At 56.6% G+C, this 14,592-nt stretch overlaps 2 pseudogenes; one reads left to right on the forward strand and one right to left on the reverse strand.

Moving 5' to 3' along the window:
* Window positions 456-7,175, forward strand: PPP6R2P1 (protein phosphatase 6 regulatory subunit 2 pseudogene 1; annotated as a pseudogene).
* FRG2MP (FSHD region gene 2 family member M, pseudogene) lies at window positions 12,387-14,052 on the reverse strand (annotated as a pseudogene).

A 14,592-nucleotide genomic window follows, 5' to 3' on the forward strand; every position in this document is an offset into this window, starting at 1 on the left:
AGACAAAATTATAAAGGAACTTTTCAAATACTTAGAACTGAAGAATAATAAAAATACTACATAGCAAAATGTGTAGAATGTAGTTAAAGTTCATTGTATACAGGGAAATGTAGCCTTTTAAAGACAGACTGGAAAAGAAGAAAGGCTACAAATTAATGAGTTAAGCTTCCAACTTAAGGACAAAAGAGGCAAGGCATGGTGGCTCACGCCTGTAATCCCAGCACTTTGGGAGGCTGAGGTGGACAAATCACCTGAGGTCGGAAGTTCAAGACTAGCGTGACCAACATGGCAAGACCCCGTCTCTACTAAAAATACAAAAATTACCTGGGCATGGTGGCGGGCGCCTGTAATCCCAGCTACTCAGGAGGCTGAGGCAGGAGAATCGCTTGAACCTGGGAGGCAGAGGTTGCAGTGCACCAAGTCAGACCCTGACTCACGCTACCGCCCCTGCCACCCCCAGTTGTTTCAGAAGTGCTGCCTGGGGCAGAGGATCCTGGAGGCCTGGGAAGCCAATGACCACACACAGTAAGAGCCACTCGGACATGGAGGGACCCAGCCTGGCCAGTCAGGGATGCAGAAACGCACCTCAGCCGGGCACTGGTGATGCTGCGTGCAGGACTGCATGCTCTGGTGGAGCGCTGGGTGTGCGACACAGCTCCACACTCTGAGGCTGCCATGCAAGGGGCCCTCCTACTGGGTGGACAGCTGCAAATGCTACTTGGGGAGGGGACACAGGGAGCTGACAGGAAGCAGTCCCAGCCCCACCAGGCACCTGCTCTGGCCCCTGCCCAGCCTGGCTTGCCTAGGCTTTGCCCTCTTGCGGGTCCCCTGTCCATTCCTGATCTTCCCCCAAGAACTCGGGTGCTCTATCAGCACTCGCACATGGGGACGCGTTATTTTGGTCTTTCCGTGTCTTCTGCTTAATGGGTGCTCCCTCTGGTCAGGACACATGTCCTGCTTATTGTCCTGGACCCAAAGCCATCCCCACCCATTCATTGTCCTGCTGGGAGCTGTCTGGCTCTGGGCGATATGAGGAGGGACTCACTGGAGCTGGGAGGGGTTTGAATGCAGCTGTGGGGAAGCAGAGGCTCAGCTGGGCTGCACAGCATGGAGGTCCCGCCCGACCCTCCCTGCAGGGTGCTGAGCCTGAGCTTTGCAGCTGACAGCGTGGGCTCAGCTCCTGCGCTACTGCTGCCACCAGCAGGGCTCAGGCCACACCACGGCCTTTCTGCCTCCGTTTCCCTGTCTGTAAAATGGGATGAGAGCAGTGTCTGTCTCCACGTCTGTCTCAGTGGCACTTTTGGTAGTGAGGTTGGGGTGAGCCTGCTTCACGTGGCAGGTGCTGCTCAAACAGAAGTGTCTTGGAGGCAGGGCCGGGGGCACAGGCTCCGGGCAAGGGCCGGGCTCTTGCTCTGGAGGTGAACCTGGAGGCCTGTGCCACTTGGCTCACCGGGTCATGGGTCTGGCAAGGTTGGGGCCAGGCGGCCACCCTGATGGTGCCTGTGGCTTTTAGGGCGACGGGTGGCATGAGGCATGGGAACATAGGCCACCTCACGCAGATCGCCAACGTGCTGGTGCAGAACCTGGAGCAGGGCTCTGTGCAGACGCACATCAGCGAGGTCATCTGAGGTGAGCCCCCCACCCGGTCATCCTTTTGCTGGTCGTGGGCACCGGGGCTCTGAAGGAGCTGCTGCCCGAGGCTCCCCTCTGCCCGTCAGCAGGTGCTGATTGCACTGACAGTGAAAGACCCCGCAGCCGTCTCTGTCCTCTCACTTCCCACATTAGATCTGTCCTCAGGGGGACCTGGGTCTCATGTGTCAGTTCTGTTGGGCAGACTTCTGTGGAGACCCTACCAGGCATCAGCATGTAGCACAAGAGATAGTCCCTGCTGGGGGCAGTTGGTGACTCCGGAGCTGGTGCTCCGAAGCCATTAGCGCTGCCAAGCTCCTTGCAGCTCATGGAGTCCTGCCTGGGTGTAGGCAGTCCTGGCCGTGTGCCAGCTTTGCTCTGCATTCAGGTGGTTGGAGAGTCTCACATTCTCACTCAGGTGTGAGACTTCATAGCACAAGTCTCAGGGAAACAGGTAGCACCCTGTTTCTTAAGAGCACAGTGGGTTAGGTGGACACAGGCACACCACATGTGTGGCAGAGGCGGGCCCAGCCATGGCCCCTCCTCCCTATACCGGTACAAAGTGAGGAAGCTCTGGATGGTCCTCCCCGCACCCCAGGACCATAGGGTGAGGGGTCTCCTGGGTTGGGCCCCATTGGCCCCTAGCAAGGTCAGGCCTGCCGGCCGCTGTCACAAATAATAAGAGCAGGGCAAGAGGAGGGGCAAAAGAGATGGGTGGAGGTGGAGGCCAGGGAGGGCTCCCCAGGGCAGGGGTGGTTTAGGGAGGCGAGGGGCAAGCAGGAAGCTCTTGGATCATCCCATACAGTCTCCCGATTGTGAATCCTTCCAGGGTTCTGACCTCCCTGGAAAAACAGACAGGACACACACCCAGGCCTGCAGGCTGCTGCTGAGTTTGGGCCTGTGAGGCAGGGTGAAGGAAGCTTGCTGCTTTCTCAGATTCTGTTCCACAGCTTCTGCGTTTCTGGGAGTTCCTCAGAATGGGCTTCCACACCAACAGACTTGGAACTCGGTTGCCCACTGAGGTCTTGGTAGGGGCAGAAGTGCCCACCACCCTGCCCACAGTTGCTGCACCTCAATCTCACTGTGGCCCCAGGCCCCTCCGGACACGCGACTATGCTGACTCCTTCCCATCCAGCAAAGCTCCTGCTTCAGGCCCTCAGATGGACTGACCACAGTAGCACCGTCCCATCCTCCTGGACCCAGGATGCACCTGCCAGAGCGCCTGAGTGCCCTGAGCCATGTGCAAGGGGTCTCCCAGGGCTCACCAGGCTGCACTTTCCTTGTAGAGCTCCCTGTGGATTGCCATGGCTGCTAGGAGAGCTTCGTGGAGGAGACGCTGACGGAGACCAACTGCAGGAACACTGTGGACTTGTTGAGGAGGCTTGGGGCTGCGCCCTCGGCGCCGGCATGGTGCTGGGACGCAGGAGGCTCGGGGCTGCCCCCTTGGTGCATGCACGGTGCTGGGACACTGTCAGACACTCCTGTCTTTGCCCCGAAGCAGAGGCCAAGAGAGGCACAAGGGCCGCACACCTGCCTGCTCCTCTTGGACGCGGGTGCCCGAGCATACCCTGCAAGTGTGCAGTCTGTCCTCCAGGCTGATGCCTGCAACACAGACCCTGTCCTGTGCCACACCCAGGGCTGGTCTCTGAGGACCTCTGTGCAGAGCTGGTGTTGGCCCCAGGTCCCTTCCCTCCCAGTCCAGGAGCTGTAGCTTGTTGGCAGGGGGCTCCATATGCCTGAGACCAACCTGCCCCCTGCACATGGATGTTGGGCTGTCACGGGGCCTTGGCCTCACCTGGGCACCTCCTTACACAGCAAGGCCTCCTGGGCCCAGAGATCTGATGAGTGACATGTTGGGCGGGGTCTGGGAGCCCTGGGCTGGGCAGGGTCTGGGGCGCTGGGCTGGCTCACACACCCACCCCATCTGGCCTGTGTTTTAGGCAAGCACTCACTACCTTCACTCCTGGAGTGAGGACATTGAGGGTGCTTTCCCTAATGAGCTGTCCCTTCAGCAGGTGAGGGCGTGGCCGGCCCCTGCACCCTGCCGGGCCCTTCCTGGCACCTGTGTGCTCTGTGCTTGGTCCTCCAGACAAGTCTCTGATGGCATCTCACTAGCAAAAGGGAGAGGGGGCTCATCTCGGAGCACGTATGGGGTGGGGTGGGTCTGAGGGGAGAACTCCAAAGTCACTCCACCTTGATGAGAGCACTGAGAACACAGCAGATAAACTCGAAAGTCAAAGAATATGGGACGTATCTCGGATGTAAGCACAGTGAGCACGCGGCCTGAGTTTGGGTAGAATCGTGAGCCCTGAACAGTCAGAGTTTACTGCCCACTTTTGCTGGAGGAGAAGCTCCTGAACAACTAGAGAGACTGTGGTTCCCAAAGAGCAGCCTGTAGGCCTGAGGACTGCTCTATGACCGGCGTCAGTCCCTGCCTCCCTCCCTCCGTCCCTCCTTCCCTCCTTCCTTCCCAGGCCTTCTCTGACTACCAGATCCAGCAGATGACGGCCAACTTTGTGGATCAGTTTGGCTTCAATGATGAGGAGTTTGCAGACCATGACAACAACATCAAGTGAGTCCACTTGGATGCCCCCTGCACGAGGCACGACTCCCCCTCCTCGCTGCTGAAGTCCCATGGGGGCAGCTCCCTTAGTCCTTGCCGGGAGATAACAGGTGTTTCCAGTTGCATGAGGGTGCTGAGGCCCCCAGTGAGAACCAGGGGAGGAGCACTGAGGCCTCAGATGAGCACCGGGGGAGGAGCCCTGAGGCCCCAGATGAGCACCAGGGGAGGAGCACTGAGGCCCCAGATGAGCACCGGGGGAGGAGCGTTGAAGCCCCAGATGAGCACCAGAGGAGGAGAGCTGAGGCCCCAGATGAGCCCCGGGGGAGGAGCTCTGAGGCCCCAGACGAGCACCGGGGGAGGAGCGCCGAGGCCCCAGATGAGCACCGGGGGAGGAGCGCCGAGGCCCCAGATGAGCAGTGGGGGAGGAGCCCCGAGGCCCCCAGATGAGCAGTGGGCGGGGCAGGGAGCGCCGAGGCCATCCCCCTTGCTCTTGCAGCGCCCCATTTGACAGGATCGCGGAGATCAACTTCAACATCGACACTGACGAGGACAGTGTGAGCGAGCGGGGCTGTGCGGGGTCATGCAGGCACCCTGTTCCCAGGCAGCTCAGGCCGCGCCCATGGCTCGGTCTGTGGTGGGCCTGTGCGGTGGGGCTGGGAGAGGCCCCTCTGTGGAGCTAGGAACAGTCGCTTTTCTTGACCCTCCCCATCATGCCCTCCAGCCCATGGCGCCCACATCCTGAACTAAGCCCCTCTGGGAGCCCTGTGGGGAGAGCGCCTCCTGTCTCCCCCAGACCCTCTGGAAACTGACCTTGGCGTTTTACTCTGCAGCCCAGCGCGGCTCTGAGGCCTGCTGCAGCGACCGCATCCAGCACTTTGATGAGAACGAGGACATCTCGGAGGACAGCGACACTTGCTGTGCTGCCCAGGTGAAGGCCAGAGCCAGGTGCGGGGCCTGCCCATCCCCCCAAAGCCTCTGCCGAGGAGGTGCAGCCCCCAGAACACCCGTCAGATGCCCAGACGCCCTGCTGTTTGTTATGCCGGCTCGCAGAGCAAGCACACCGGTCCTGCAAGCACTGGCGCCCAACGCAGCGGGTGACCCTCAGGAGCTCGGAGCTGAGGCCTGGAGCGACTCGTGCTCCTCACTCAGGGCATTCTGTGCTCACCCTCAGCCTGGAGCCTGCTGCTGTCACTGACCCTCAGTGTTAGGCATCTGTCCTGGGCCACCAGGCATCTGACTCTGCATCTCCCCGAGGTTTGGAGCCCCCCATGCTTCAGAAAGCTGCTCAAAGAATGGCCCGGAGTGCGGAGGCCAGGATGGGAAGGCGAGCTTGGAAGCAGACCATGATGCGCCTGGGGCAGGTGCCCCCTAGACCCTGGAAAGAACAAAGCCCCTCCTCTGGAGGGTGACTCAGAAGGTGGTGCTGTGGGGCAGGGGCCGGGGATGTGTGTGTTGGGGGCAGGACATGGTACCCTGGCCTAGGGGTGTGGAGGCTTCATTTGGAGCTGAGGCATTTGGGGCTCACTGTGGCCCGAAACCTGCATCTCCAGCTCTTTCCCAGCCATCCTGAGTAGGGGTCTGTGCTGCCCTGTGCCCGGCACAAGGTGGTCTCCTGCCCCTGCCTCTCAGTTGTTGTCACTCTGCCACTGTCACCAAGGTTGGTGGGTGGTGTCCACCTAGTCCCCATCGTCCACCCGGCCCCCACACAATGCGACACAGGCCTGATGCCCACCCCAGCACAGCAGCACAGCCTGGCCTCCACCCTCACGGCTGACATCTAGGGCAGGAGCCAGTCCACCCCGCAGGCTGCGCGGCTGATAAGACCCCTCTCCTTACCCCTGCTCTGGGGGCAGCACTGACCCACTCAGGACTTTGGGGAGGGGGCAGGGATCTCTGTTAGGAGGTGCCGAGCTCTTAGCTGAGGCCAAAAGAGAGAGCAAGGGCAACACCCTGGGGAAGCAGGAACGTCCCAGATAGGAGGAAGGCGGCTCATCCTTGAGGCCAGGGAGGGCCTGGTGGTGCTTGGTGAGCTGCCATCTCTGTTGGATGCGGTCCTGGATAGGACAGGGCAGTGGCATCACCTCCACACTGTCAGCGTCAGCCATGCTGGAGGCCTAGGGGCCCTCAGGCGCCTGACTGAGCCCCAGGTCATGGAGGGCAGTGGCATTGCCTCCACACTATCAGCGTCAGTCCTGCTGGAGGCCTAGGGGCCCTCAGGTGCCTGACTGAGCCCTGGATCATGGAGGGTAGTGGCATCGCCTCCACACTGTCAGTGTCAGCCTTGCTGGAGGCCGGGGGGCCCTCAGGCGCCTGACTGAGCCCCGGATCATGGAGGGCAGTGGCATCACCTCCACACTGTCAGTGTCAGCCCTGCTGGAGGCCTGGGGGCCCTCAGGCGCCTGGCTGAGCCCCAGTTCACACACCCCATGGATGTTGGCAGCTTGTCAGGACCCTCGAGCTGTCCCCTGTTATTCTCTGAGGGGCTGAGGGGCACTGCTTGGGCCTCCCTCCTGGAGCAGCCCCATGTTCCTGTCAACCTCTGTGGGGCTCCCAGTGGGGGGTGCGCTGCCTCCCCTTTGCCTGCAGCACCCCAGACAGGCCTGCCCTCACCTGGCCACTGTGTCTCTCACCCAGCAGACACCATATGGATGACAGTGTTTGATAAGCCAGCAAACTCGACGCCCATAGCCCCAGGAGTGGTGAGGGACAGGGTTCCAGCGTGTGGGCAGCTGGCACCTCAGCTCCAGAGGAGAAAGGCTGGGCCAGTTCACCGAATTCCAGCCTTTCTGCTGGTAACAAATGCATTGGCAGGAGGGGGCCGTGTCAGGAAGTGCCTTCCAGGGTCAGGAGGTGCCCGTCCTCCGGGACTGACCCTGTCCTCGTCCTTGTCTGTAGCTCCGAGTCAGGGCCCAGGTGCAGCTCTCTGATGGACACAAAACACAGCCAGGCTGAGGCAGCCAGAGCCAAGGCCTCGAGAAAGCCTGTGAGTAGCAGCAGTGCAGGCGGCACCCAGCCTCCTGCAGAGGCCTAGCCTTGCCCAGTTTAAGGCCTGAGGCCAGCTGGCCCCCCTCCTTGGGGTCAGTGGGAGGAGGTGGCCAGGACCCTGCATGCTGCTAGGTCTCTTGTGACATTGGGGTTTGATACAGCAGTGGGACTGGAGCAGCCACGTGCAGATGGGGAGGCCCCCAGAGGGGAGGCAGCAAGGCCATTGGGCTGGCCCTGAGCCCCGTCTGAGCAGGTGGCACAGCCCAGGTCTGTACCCTTGATTCTAGACAGCAGCACCAGGACCCCAGCATTGAGATGTGTGTGGGTGGGTTGTTGGCAGGAAGCCATTCTGGGGCCTGATCAGAGCCCCTGGCCCCCAGGCCCCTAGTCAGGCCGAGAGGCTCCCCCAGACAAGGCTGAGAGCTCCAGGCGAGCGACAGCTGGCTTCCAACACTGGTGTCCCCGGTGCTTGAAGGAGCTGTGGCAGGACCACACAAGGCAGAGCGGGCCCCTTCCTGAGCCTCTGCGTCCTCATGTGAGACCAGGGCACATTGCCCTGTATCATGGGGGAGGCAACAGTGTTGCTTGTGTGGAGACCACATGGAAGGTGTGTGAGCCTGTTAGCCTCGTCATGCGGTTTCCACACAGGTACACGTGTGCAGGCGACAGGCTGCATGTGAGAGGGCTACACGTAAGGGATCCCTATGGCCGGGGTTGCCACACCCTGTGGCCCCTCCTGCCTCACTGGACAGCACAGGCCTCCTACTCTGCAGTCAGCCCAGCTTCTCCATGTACCTCCGTGTACCTCCGTGTGTGTCACCAGGAAGGCCCCCCTGCTGGCCTCTGACAGCAGCTCCTGTGGGGGCTCCGACAGCGATACATGACGACCAGAAGGCAGTGAGTGCCATGGATGCTGTGAACACCCGTCCGGGCTAGGAGGCCCCCCGCCCCCGCTGCCCACAGTGGCCAGGACAGAGGAGGCTGTCAGCAGGTGTGTGGGGCGTCGGGGGTAGGTGGGCAGGCCTGCCTGGGTGCAAAGGCTGCGGCTTCCAGGCTCTGTCCCCAGCTCTTAGCTCCCTTGGGAGCAGGCTGAGGCCAGGCCAGGGTTCTTCTCCACACTGCTTCCCCGATGGCCCCGTGACCCCTTACAGGCTGGCTCGGGGTGGTCATGCCCACGCATTTAAATAGAGGCAGGATGGGAGGAGTGTGAGGGCTTCCTTCTTGGACAGAACATCTGTGTTCTCTGTTGTGAGTGGTTAAGACAAGAAGACAGGGCCTGGATGTCCCAGACAGTCCCCCAGGGACTTGGTGGGGGCAGCCCCTACCCCAGACCCCAGTTAGAGAGAACAGCCCAGCTCTTGGGGCTCTGGGCCTGGCTGAGCCGCCTGGGATCTGGGTACCCTGGAGGTCGGGGAGGGGCACAGACTTTAAGTCCAGCAGGTAAGCAGGCATCTGTGGAGCTCATGCAGACCTCGCCTGCTGCTCCCCTTCCATGGGAGGCCTAGATTTCCAGATGCCTCAGAAGCCAGGACAGTAGGATGGGGGGGCGGGGGCCTCAGGACTGCACTTGGGGCATCCAAACCCTGACTGAGAGTTGGAGGCAGCTTGCAGATGGTCAGAGGCTCAGGCTCCCTTGAGCCTCCAAGAGCCATTCCTGGGGAGAGAGTGGAGAGGGAGGCACTCCCTGTGAGGAGGCTGGAGTCTGGCCAGCCCCTCCAGCAAGCTGAATCCCATCCATCCCCCCACAGGAAGAAGGTCCCTGGCATCCTTCAGTGAACAGATACCTCTTCTGGCCTTTGGGGTCAGGGGTTGGGAGTTTAGCAGGAGGGCAGGACAGCTAGGGTAGATGCTAGGGCCAGGTAAACCTGAGGGGGAAGGTAGGACTGGGCTTGAAGTGGGGAGGAGGGCACACCCGGCAAGGGCAAAGCTGTGCAGAGGACCTGGGGCCTGAGCTCCCTGTAGGTCCAGGCAACAGTGGGGAAGTCCTTGGGCTGGATTCCTCTAGGAGAGGACAAGGTGCCTTTCACACCTGGCGGTGCATCCCAGTCACTCCTGTTTCCATGCTTGTGAAGGGCCTGCCTGGAGTGGGGTGAGGGTGCCCCCAGCCTCACTGCCCAATGCAGCTCAGCCTGCAAGCGTCCCACCTGTCCTACCCTGCCCCGACAGGCGGGGCAGGTCTGACACCTCAGAGGACCCTGCCCACTGACCCCCAGCAGTCCTGGAGGGTCTGTGTGGTATTGGGGCTCCGGGCATCTCCCCCAGCCAGGCTGCAAGCTCAGCACCAGGCTGGCTCTCCCTGCCCTGTTGACCAGCAGGCCATGTCTGTGCTCACAGCTCCTCCCCTTGTTTGGCCACGCTGCCGTCAGGGCATCTGCAGCAAGTGGGGGGCACAACACGGGAAATGGGGCCAAGGCCACAGCGGTGGATGTCCCGATGCTGCCAGTCACTGGAAAGCCCAGGCCAGAGCCCCTCGGGTTGAAAGTCATACAGAGTTCCTGCGTGGGCTTCATTCCTTCTTAAAGTTTAGTCACTGAAATTCTTAAAAATCTTTATCCAGCCAGGCATGGTGGCTCATGCCTGTAATCCCAGCACTTTGGGAGGCCGAGGCAGGTGGATCACGAGGTCAGAAGTTCGAGACCAGCCTGGCCAATATGGTAAAACCCGTCTCTACTAAAAATACAAAAATTAGCCAAGCGTGGTGGCACACGCCTGTAGTCCCCGCTACTCGGGAGGCTGAGGCAGGAGAATCACTTGAACCTGGGAGGTGGAGGTCGCAGTGAGCCAAGATCATGCTACTGCACTCTGGCCTGGGCATCAGAGTGAGACTCCATTTCAAAAAAAAAAAAAAAAATCTTTACCCTCAGCTGGGTGTGGTGGCTCACACCTGTAATCCCAGCACTTTTGGGAGGCCGAGGTGGGCGGATTGCCCAAGCTCAGGAGTTTGAGACCACCCTGGGCAACATAGCAAAACCCCACATCTACTAAAATACAAAAAATTAGGCGGGCATGGTGACGCATGCCTGTAGTCCCAGCTACTCGGGAGGCTGAGGCAGGAGAATTACTTGAACCTGGGAGCCAGAGGTTGCAGTGAGCAGAGATCGCACCACTGCACTCCAGCCTGGGCAATAGAGCGAGACTCTGTCTGCAAAAACCAAACCAAAACAAACCTTTACCCACTTTTCCTAAACAACCCCTAAAAAACTTTGCTCTGAAAAGCAGGGAATATCACTGTGCAAAGTAAGTTGCTTTTCTCCACGGGGCTATCTGTGTAAAACTTGCCACTGAGAGCTCTCTCTGCTCTGCTGTGACAGCCCAGCCTGCAGGTGAGCTTGCTTGCACTCCCACCTGATCAGAGCACGCCTCCCCGGGTCAGACACTCAATATCCTTGCCCTGCAGGAGGCCAGAGGGCCCATCTGCTGCTCATGGCCAGGCTGGGCCTTGGGGTGCCTGACCCCCCCAGAGCAAGCCCCTTAGATGCCCGGCAGAATCCTCTCTCCCCTCCTGTACCTTGGAAGGTTTCCCCACACTATGCCCAGTGTCAGGCTGAAGTTGGGATCATGGCACAGGAGCCTCTGGGGCCCTCGGAGAATGAGGTGCTTGATGATGGGCAGAATCTGAACGCAGCCTGGACGGAGGTTTGAGGTCATCAATGGACAGACAGCTTGTCCCAGCACTTAGAACTCAGGGCAGCAGAGCTGCCTAGCTGGGCACAACCTGGGCCACCCCACAGAGGGCAGGAGTGGGAGAGGCCAAAGGGGGTGATCCCAGGACATTTTTGTATCTTTAGTAGAGACGGGGTTTCACCATGTTGGCCAGGCTGGTCTGGAACTCCTGACCTCAGGTGATCCACCCACCTCGGCCTCCCAAAGTGCCGGCATTACAGGTGAGAGTCACCGCACCCAGCCTATTTTTTTTTTTTTTTTTTTTTTTTTAATTTAAGACAGTCTCACTCTGCCATTCAGGCTTGAGTGCAGTGACGCAGTTTCGGCTCACTGCAATCTCCACCTCCTGGGTTCATGGGATTCTCCTGCCTCAGCCTCCTGAGCAGCTGGGATTACAGGTGTGTACTACCACACCCAGTTAATTTTTTTTTTTTTGTATTTTTAGTAGAGACAGTGTTTCAGCATGTTGGCCAGACTGGTCTCAAACTCCTGACCTCAGGTGATCTGCCCACCTTGGCCTCCAAAAGTGCTGGGATTACAAGTGTAAGCCACCATGCCCAGCCCACAGTGCAGTTTAAACCACCATTTCTGTGAAGCTTTCTCTGCCTGTTACCAGGTACTACCCATACACACACTACCCACGAACAAAGAAATGTGCGTTGTTCTGTGCTGCACGCCACCATTGTAACAATTGTGATGATTTACTTTACAAGTTTCTCTCCCCTCTAGACTGTTGGCTCTTACATTTTTATATCTTTATCCTTTCATGAGTATTTAGCATGGTGTCGCCTTGTAGTGAATGCTTCATAAATATTTGTTGAATGAATGAATTTTAACTGATTATCTTTTTCTAAGCCACATGGTAAGATGTTCTTGTCTGTCTTTCAGTTAGGACTTTATTTTTACTTTTAAGTTCAGAGCTTCTTGATGGTTGTTCTTTCTAAATAATTATTATTTAGCAACTGACTGTCATAAGAGATTCAAAATACATCAAATATCTAACACAAAATATAAAATATGCAGTAATCTTAGCCCTCAAGGAAACCCAGATTTCCCAATTCTGAGTATATTGTTCAAGTTCCTTTTCCAGGACAGCTCAAGGTTCTGTCATTTATTTTTGTCTTTGTTTTTGTTTTGAGACAGTTTCACTCTGCCATCAAGGCTGCAGTGCAGTGGTGTGATCATGACTCACTGTAGCCTCAACTTTCTGTGCTTAAGTGATCCTCCTGCCTCTGCCTCCAGAGTAGCTGAAACTATAGGCACACGTCATCATGCTCCACCTAATTATTTTTTTTTTTTTTTGAGACAGGGTCTCACTATATTGCTCAGGCCGGTCTCCAAATCCTGAGTTCAAGCAGTCTTTCCACTTGACCTCCCAAAGTGTTAGGATTGCAGGTATGAACCACTGCACCTGGCCAATTTTTTTATTTATTAATAAAGTGTTTCTAAAATTGTCACTGCCGGTCGTTTGGAAGAATCTGAGAAGTAGCAGCTCTGCTCTTGTTTCCAGAACTGCATCCTATGCTGAATAGGTCTGGGTGCCCCCAGCGCAAGCCTCACCTTATTCACTTACTGACTCAGTTATCTCCTGACTAGAGAAGAGGCAGACCCATCTCCATCCTAGGAGGAGCTCTTAGTTCCTCCAGACAGGGATGTCTCCCTAGGACCAGGCAGTGTGGCTGGGATGAGCCATTCATCATCAGGGAAGACACAGGCTACCTGGGTAGTCATGGTGTAGAATGCCTCCAGCACAGTGCACAGAAGCCCCTGAATCTGGGAAGAAAGCTACTTCCACATCAGGTGAGAATGCACCTCTGCCCATACCTGGACTGGGTCTTGATAACGCCCTCAGAAATAGCATGCAGGGAGTCACCAGTCTTTTGAAGTGGTGGTGGTTGTTCTCTTGGTAACCAAGATCTGGGCTGCTTGCTGTGCCCAGTGGCACCCCTTGAGGGTCTCTTATGGTGGGCATCACTGGTCTTCTTAATTTGCTACTGTGTCCATCCTCAGAGTCCTTTGCTTTCTTTTTCAAAGTCAAGCTGTGCTCATATCCTAGACTCTTTCCTGTGGAGAAAGCACGTGAGTTAAAGATTCACCACAATAGTTCACACAGAAGCTTATTCCAGAACCTTCCCATGCACATTCAGGTGACCCCCACTTGTCTCACCTCCCACTTGCCAGCTCCCTCAGCCTGCCTAATAAAGTGAGATTGAGTTCGCTCCTGGGTCCCCAAATGCTCTCTGAATGCCAGGATCTCTAAAATTCTTTCAACCACCAAGAAGACCCCTTCTTACCCAAGCCTTGCTTGTCTTGCTTGTCTGTTAGGATAAAAAAGCAAGACTCTACCTGCTCTATCTTGTCAGGTGTCCTTGAAATTTTTTTTTTTTTCTTCATTTCTTCTGCTCATCTGAGCTGGACTCTGATTCTGTTGATAAAAATGGGTGTGTGTGAGTGCCTCCAACTGAACACCTTGGAAGCCTTAGTCCATTTTTGATACACTAGAGATGAGGTTTCCACAAAAACTCAGCTCTCCTCTGTGCTCCAGCGCCCAGGATCTGTAAAGTGCTGCATTCAAAAACGCTCTCAGTTTCTTTCTCAGGGGAGACTGTGTTAATCTATATCCTGTCCCTTCTCACCTTGGAAGAGTCAAGTCTTATTTGATCTAGCATTGCTGTTTCTGGTTTTGAGCTTAGTTTTCTTGGAATTCTATTTCCCATTTGGATTGGGGTCTGGTCCTAGTGGAAAAGGGAGTTCGGGTGATTCACCTTTCTCTAGACCCAGAGTCCCATAGTCTATTTCTGACTCATATTTGTGGGTCATTTTCTCAACTGATGCTGTTCAGCCAGCGTCAAAAGTGAGTGGGAAGAATACAGTCCCAGGAGATCATCACCACATTTCTCAAAGCCACCTGAGGGCTGTAATCCATTTCCTGTCCTCAATTACAAAATAAACTCCTATCAAAGACATACAGCTTAGTATCCTTCATTCCACCCCTCTTTGCAACCTTCATAAGAACAGCCCAAGGTCTTACCTGAGCTTTGAGTGCAGCTCTCACTGGAATGGAAAGAGATCATCTTGCCTTTTTCTTCAAATCATTTCTCCTCCTCATCTGAGCCCCTTTCTGCAAAGGAGATATGTTGGAAAGGGGGCTGGCCAGTGAGGTCTTGGATGGAGGCACAGTGAGAATTTTGGTCTGCAGTTCCCCATTCCATGTTGAAGCTCAAATGAAAGGTCCTCTCTCTTACACGTCCAGATTCAGAGTGTAGCATGTTATGCTGGACTTGTCTTTTTTAAGTCTCTCTTTGCTTCGTTTTCTGTTTTTGTTTTGTTTTGCTTTTTTGAGACAGGGTCTCACTCTGTCGCCCAGGCTAGAGTGCAGTGGCGTGATCTTGGCTCAATGTAAGATTCTCCTGCCTCAGCCTCCTGAGTAGCTGGCATTACAGGCGCATGCCACTAGGCCTGGCTAATTTTTGTATTTTTAGTAGAGACGGGGTTTCACCATGTTGGTCAGGCTGGTCTCAATCTCCTGACCTTGTGATCCACCCGCCTCAGCCTCCCAAAGTGCTGGGATTACAGGAGTGAGCCACCGTGTCCGGCCATAAGCCTCTGTTTATAAGCATGGCTCACTCTTACTGGCTGAAGAGATTGATTTCTCTTGCCTGCCGCTCTTCATAGCCTCCATAAGGAATGTTTCAGGATGTGATTATGCTGGGGACTTAGACACACATAAGGGAAGACTTTTGCAGAGTCCT

The sequence above is a fragment of the Homo sapiens genome, chromosome 21 (assembly GCF_000001405.40).
Source record: "Homo sapiens chromosome 21, GRCh38.p14 Primary Assembly".
In the NCBI taxonomy this organism is placed as follows: domain Eukaryota; kingdom Metazoa; phylum Chordata; class Mammalia; order Primates; family Hominidae; genus Homo; species Homo sapiens.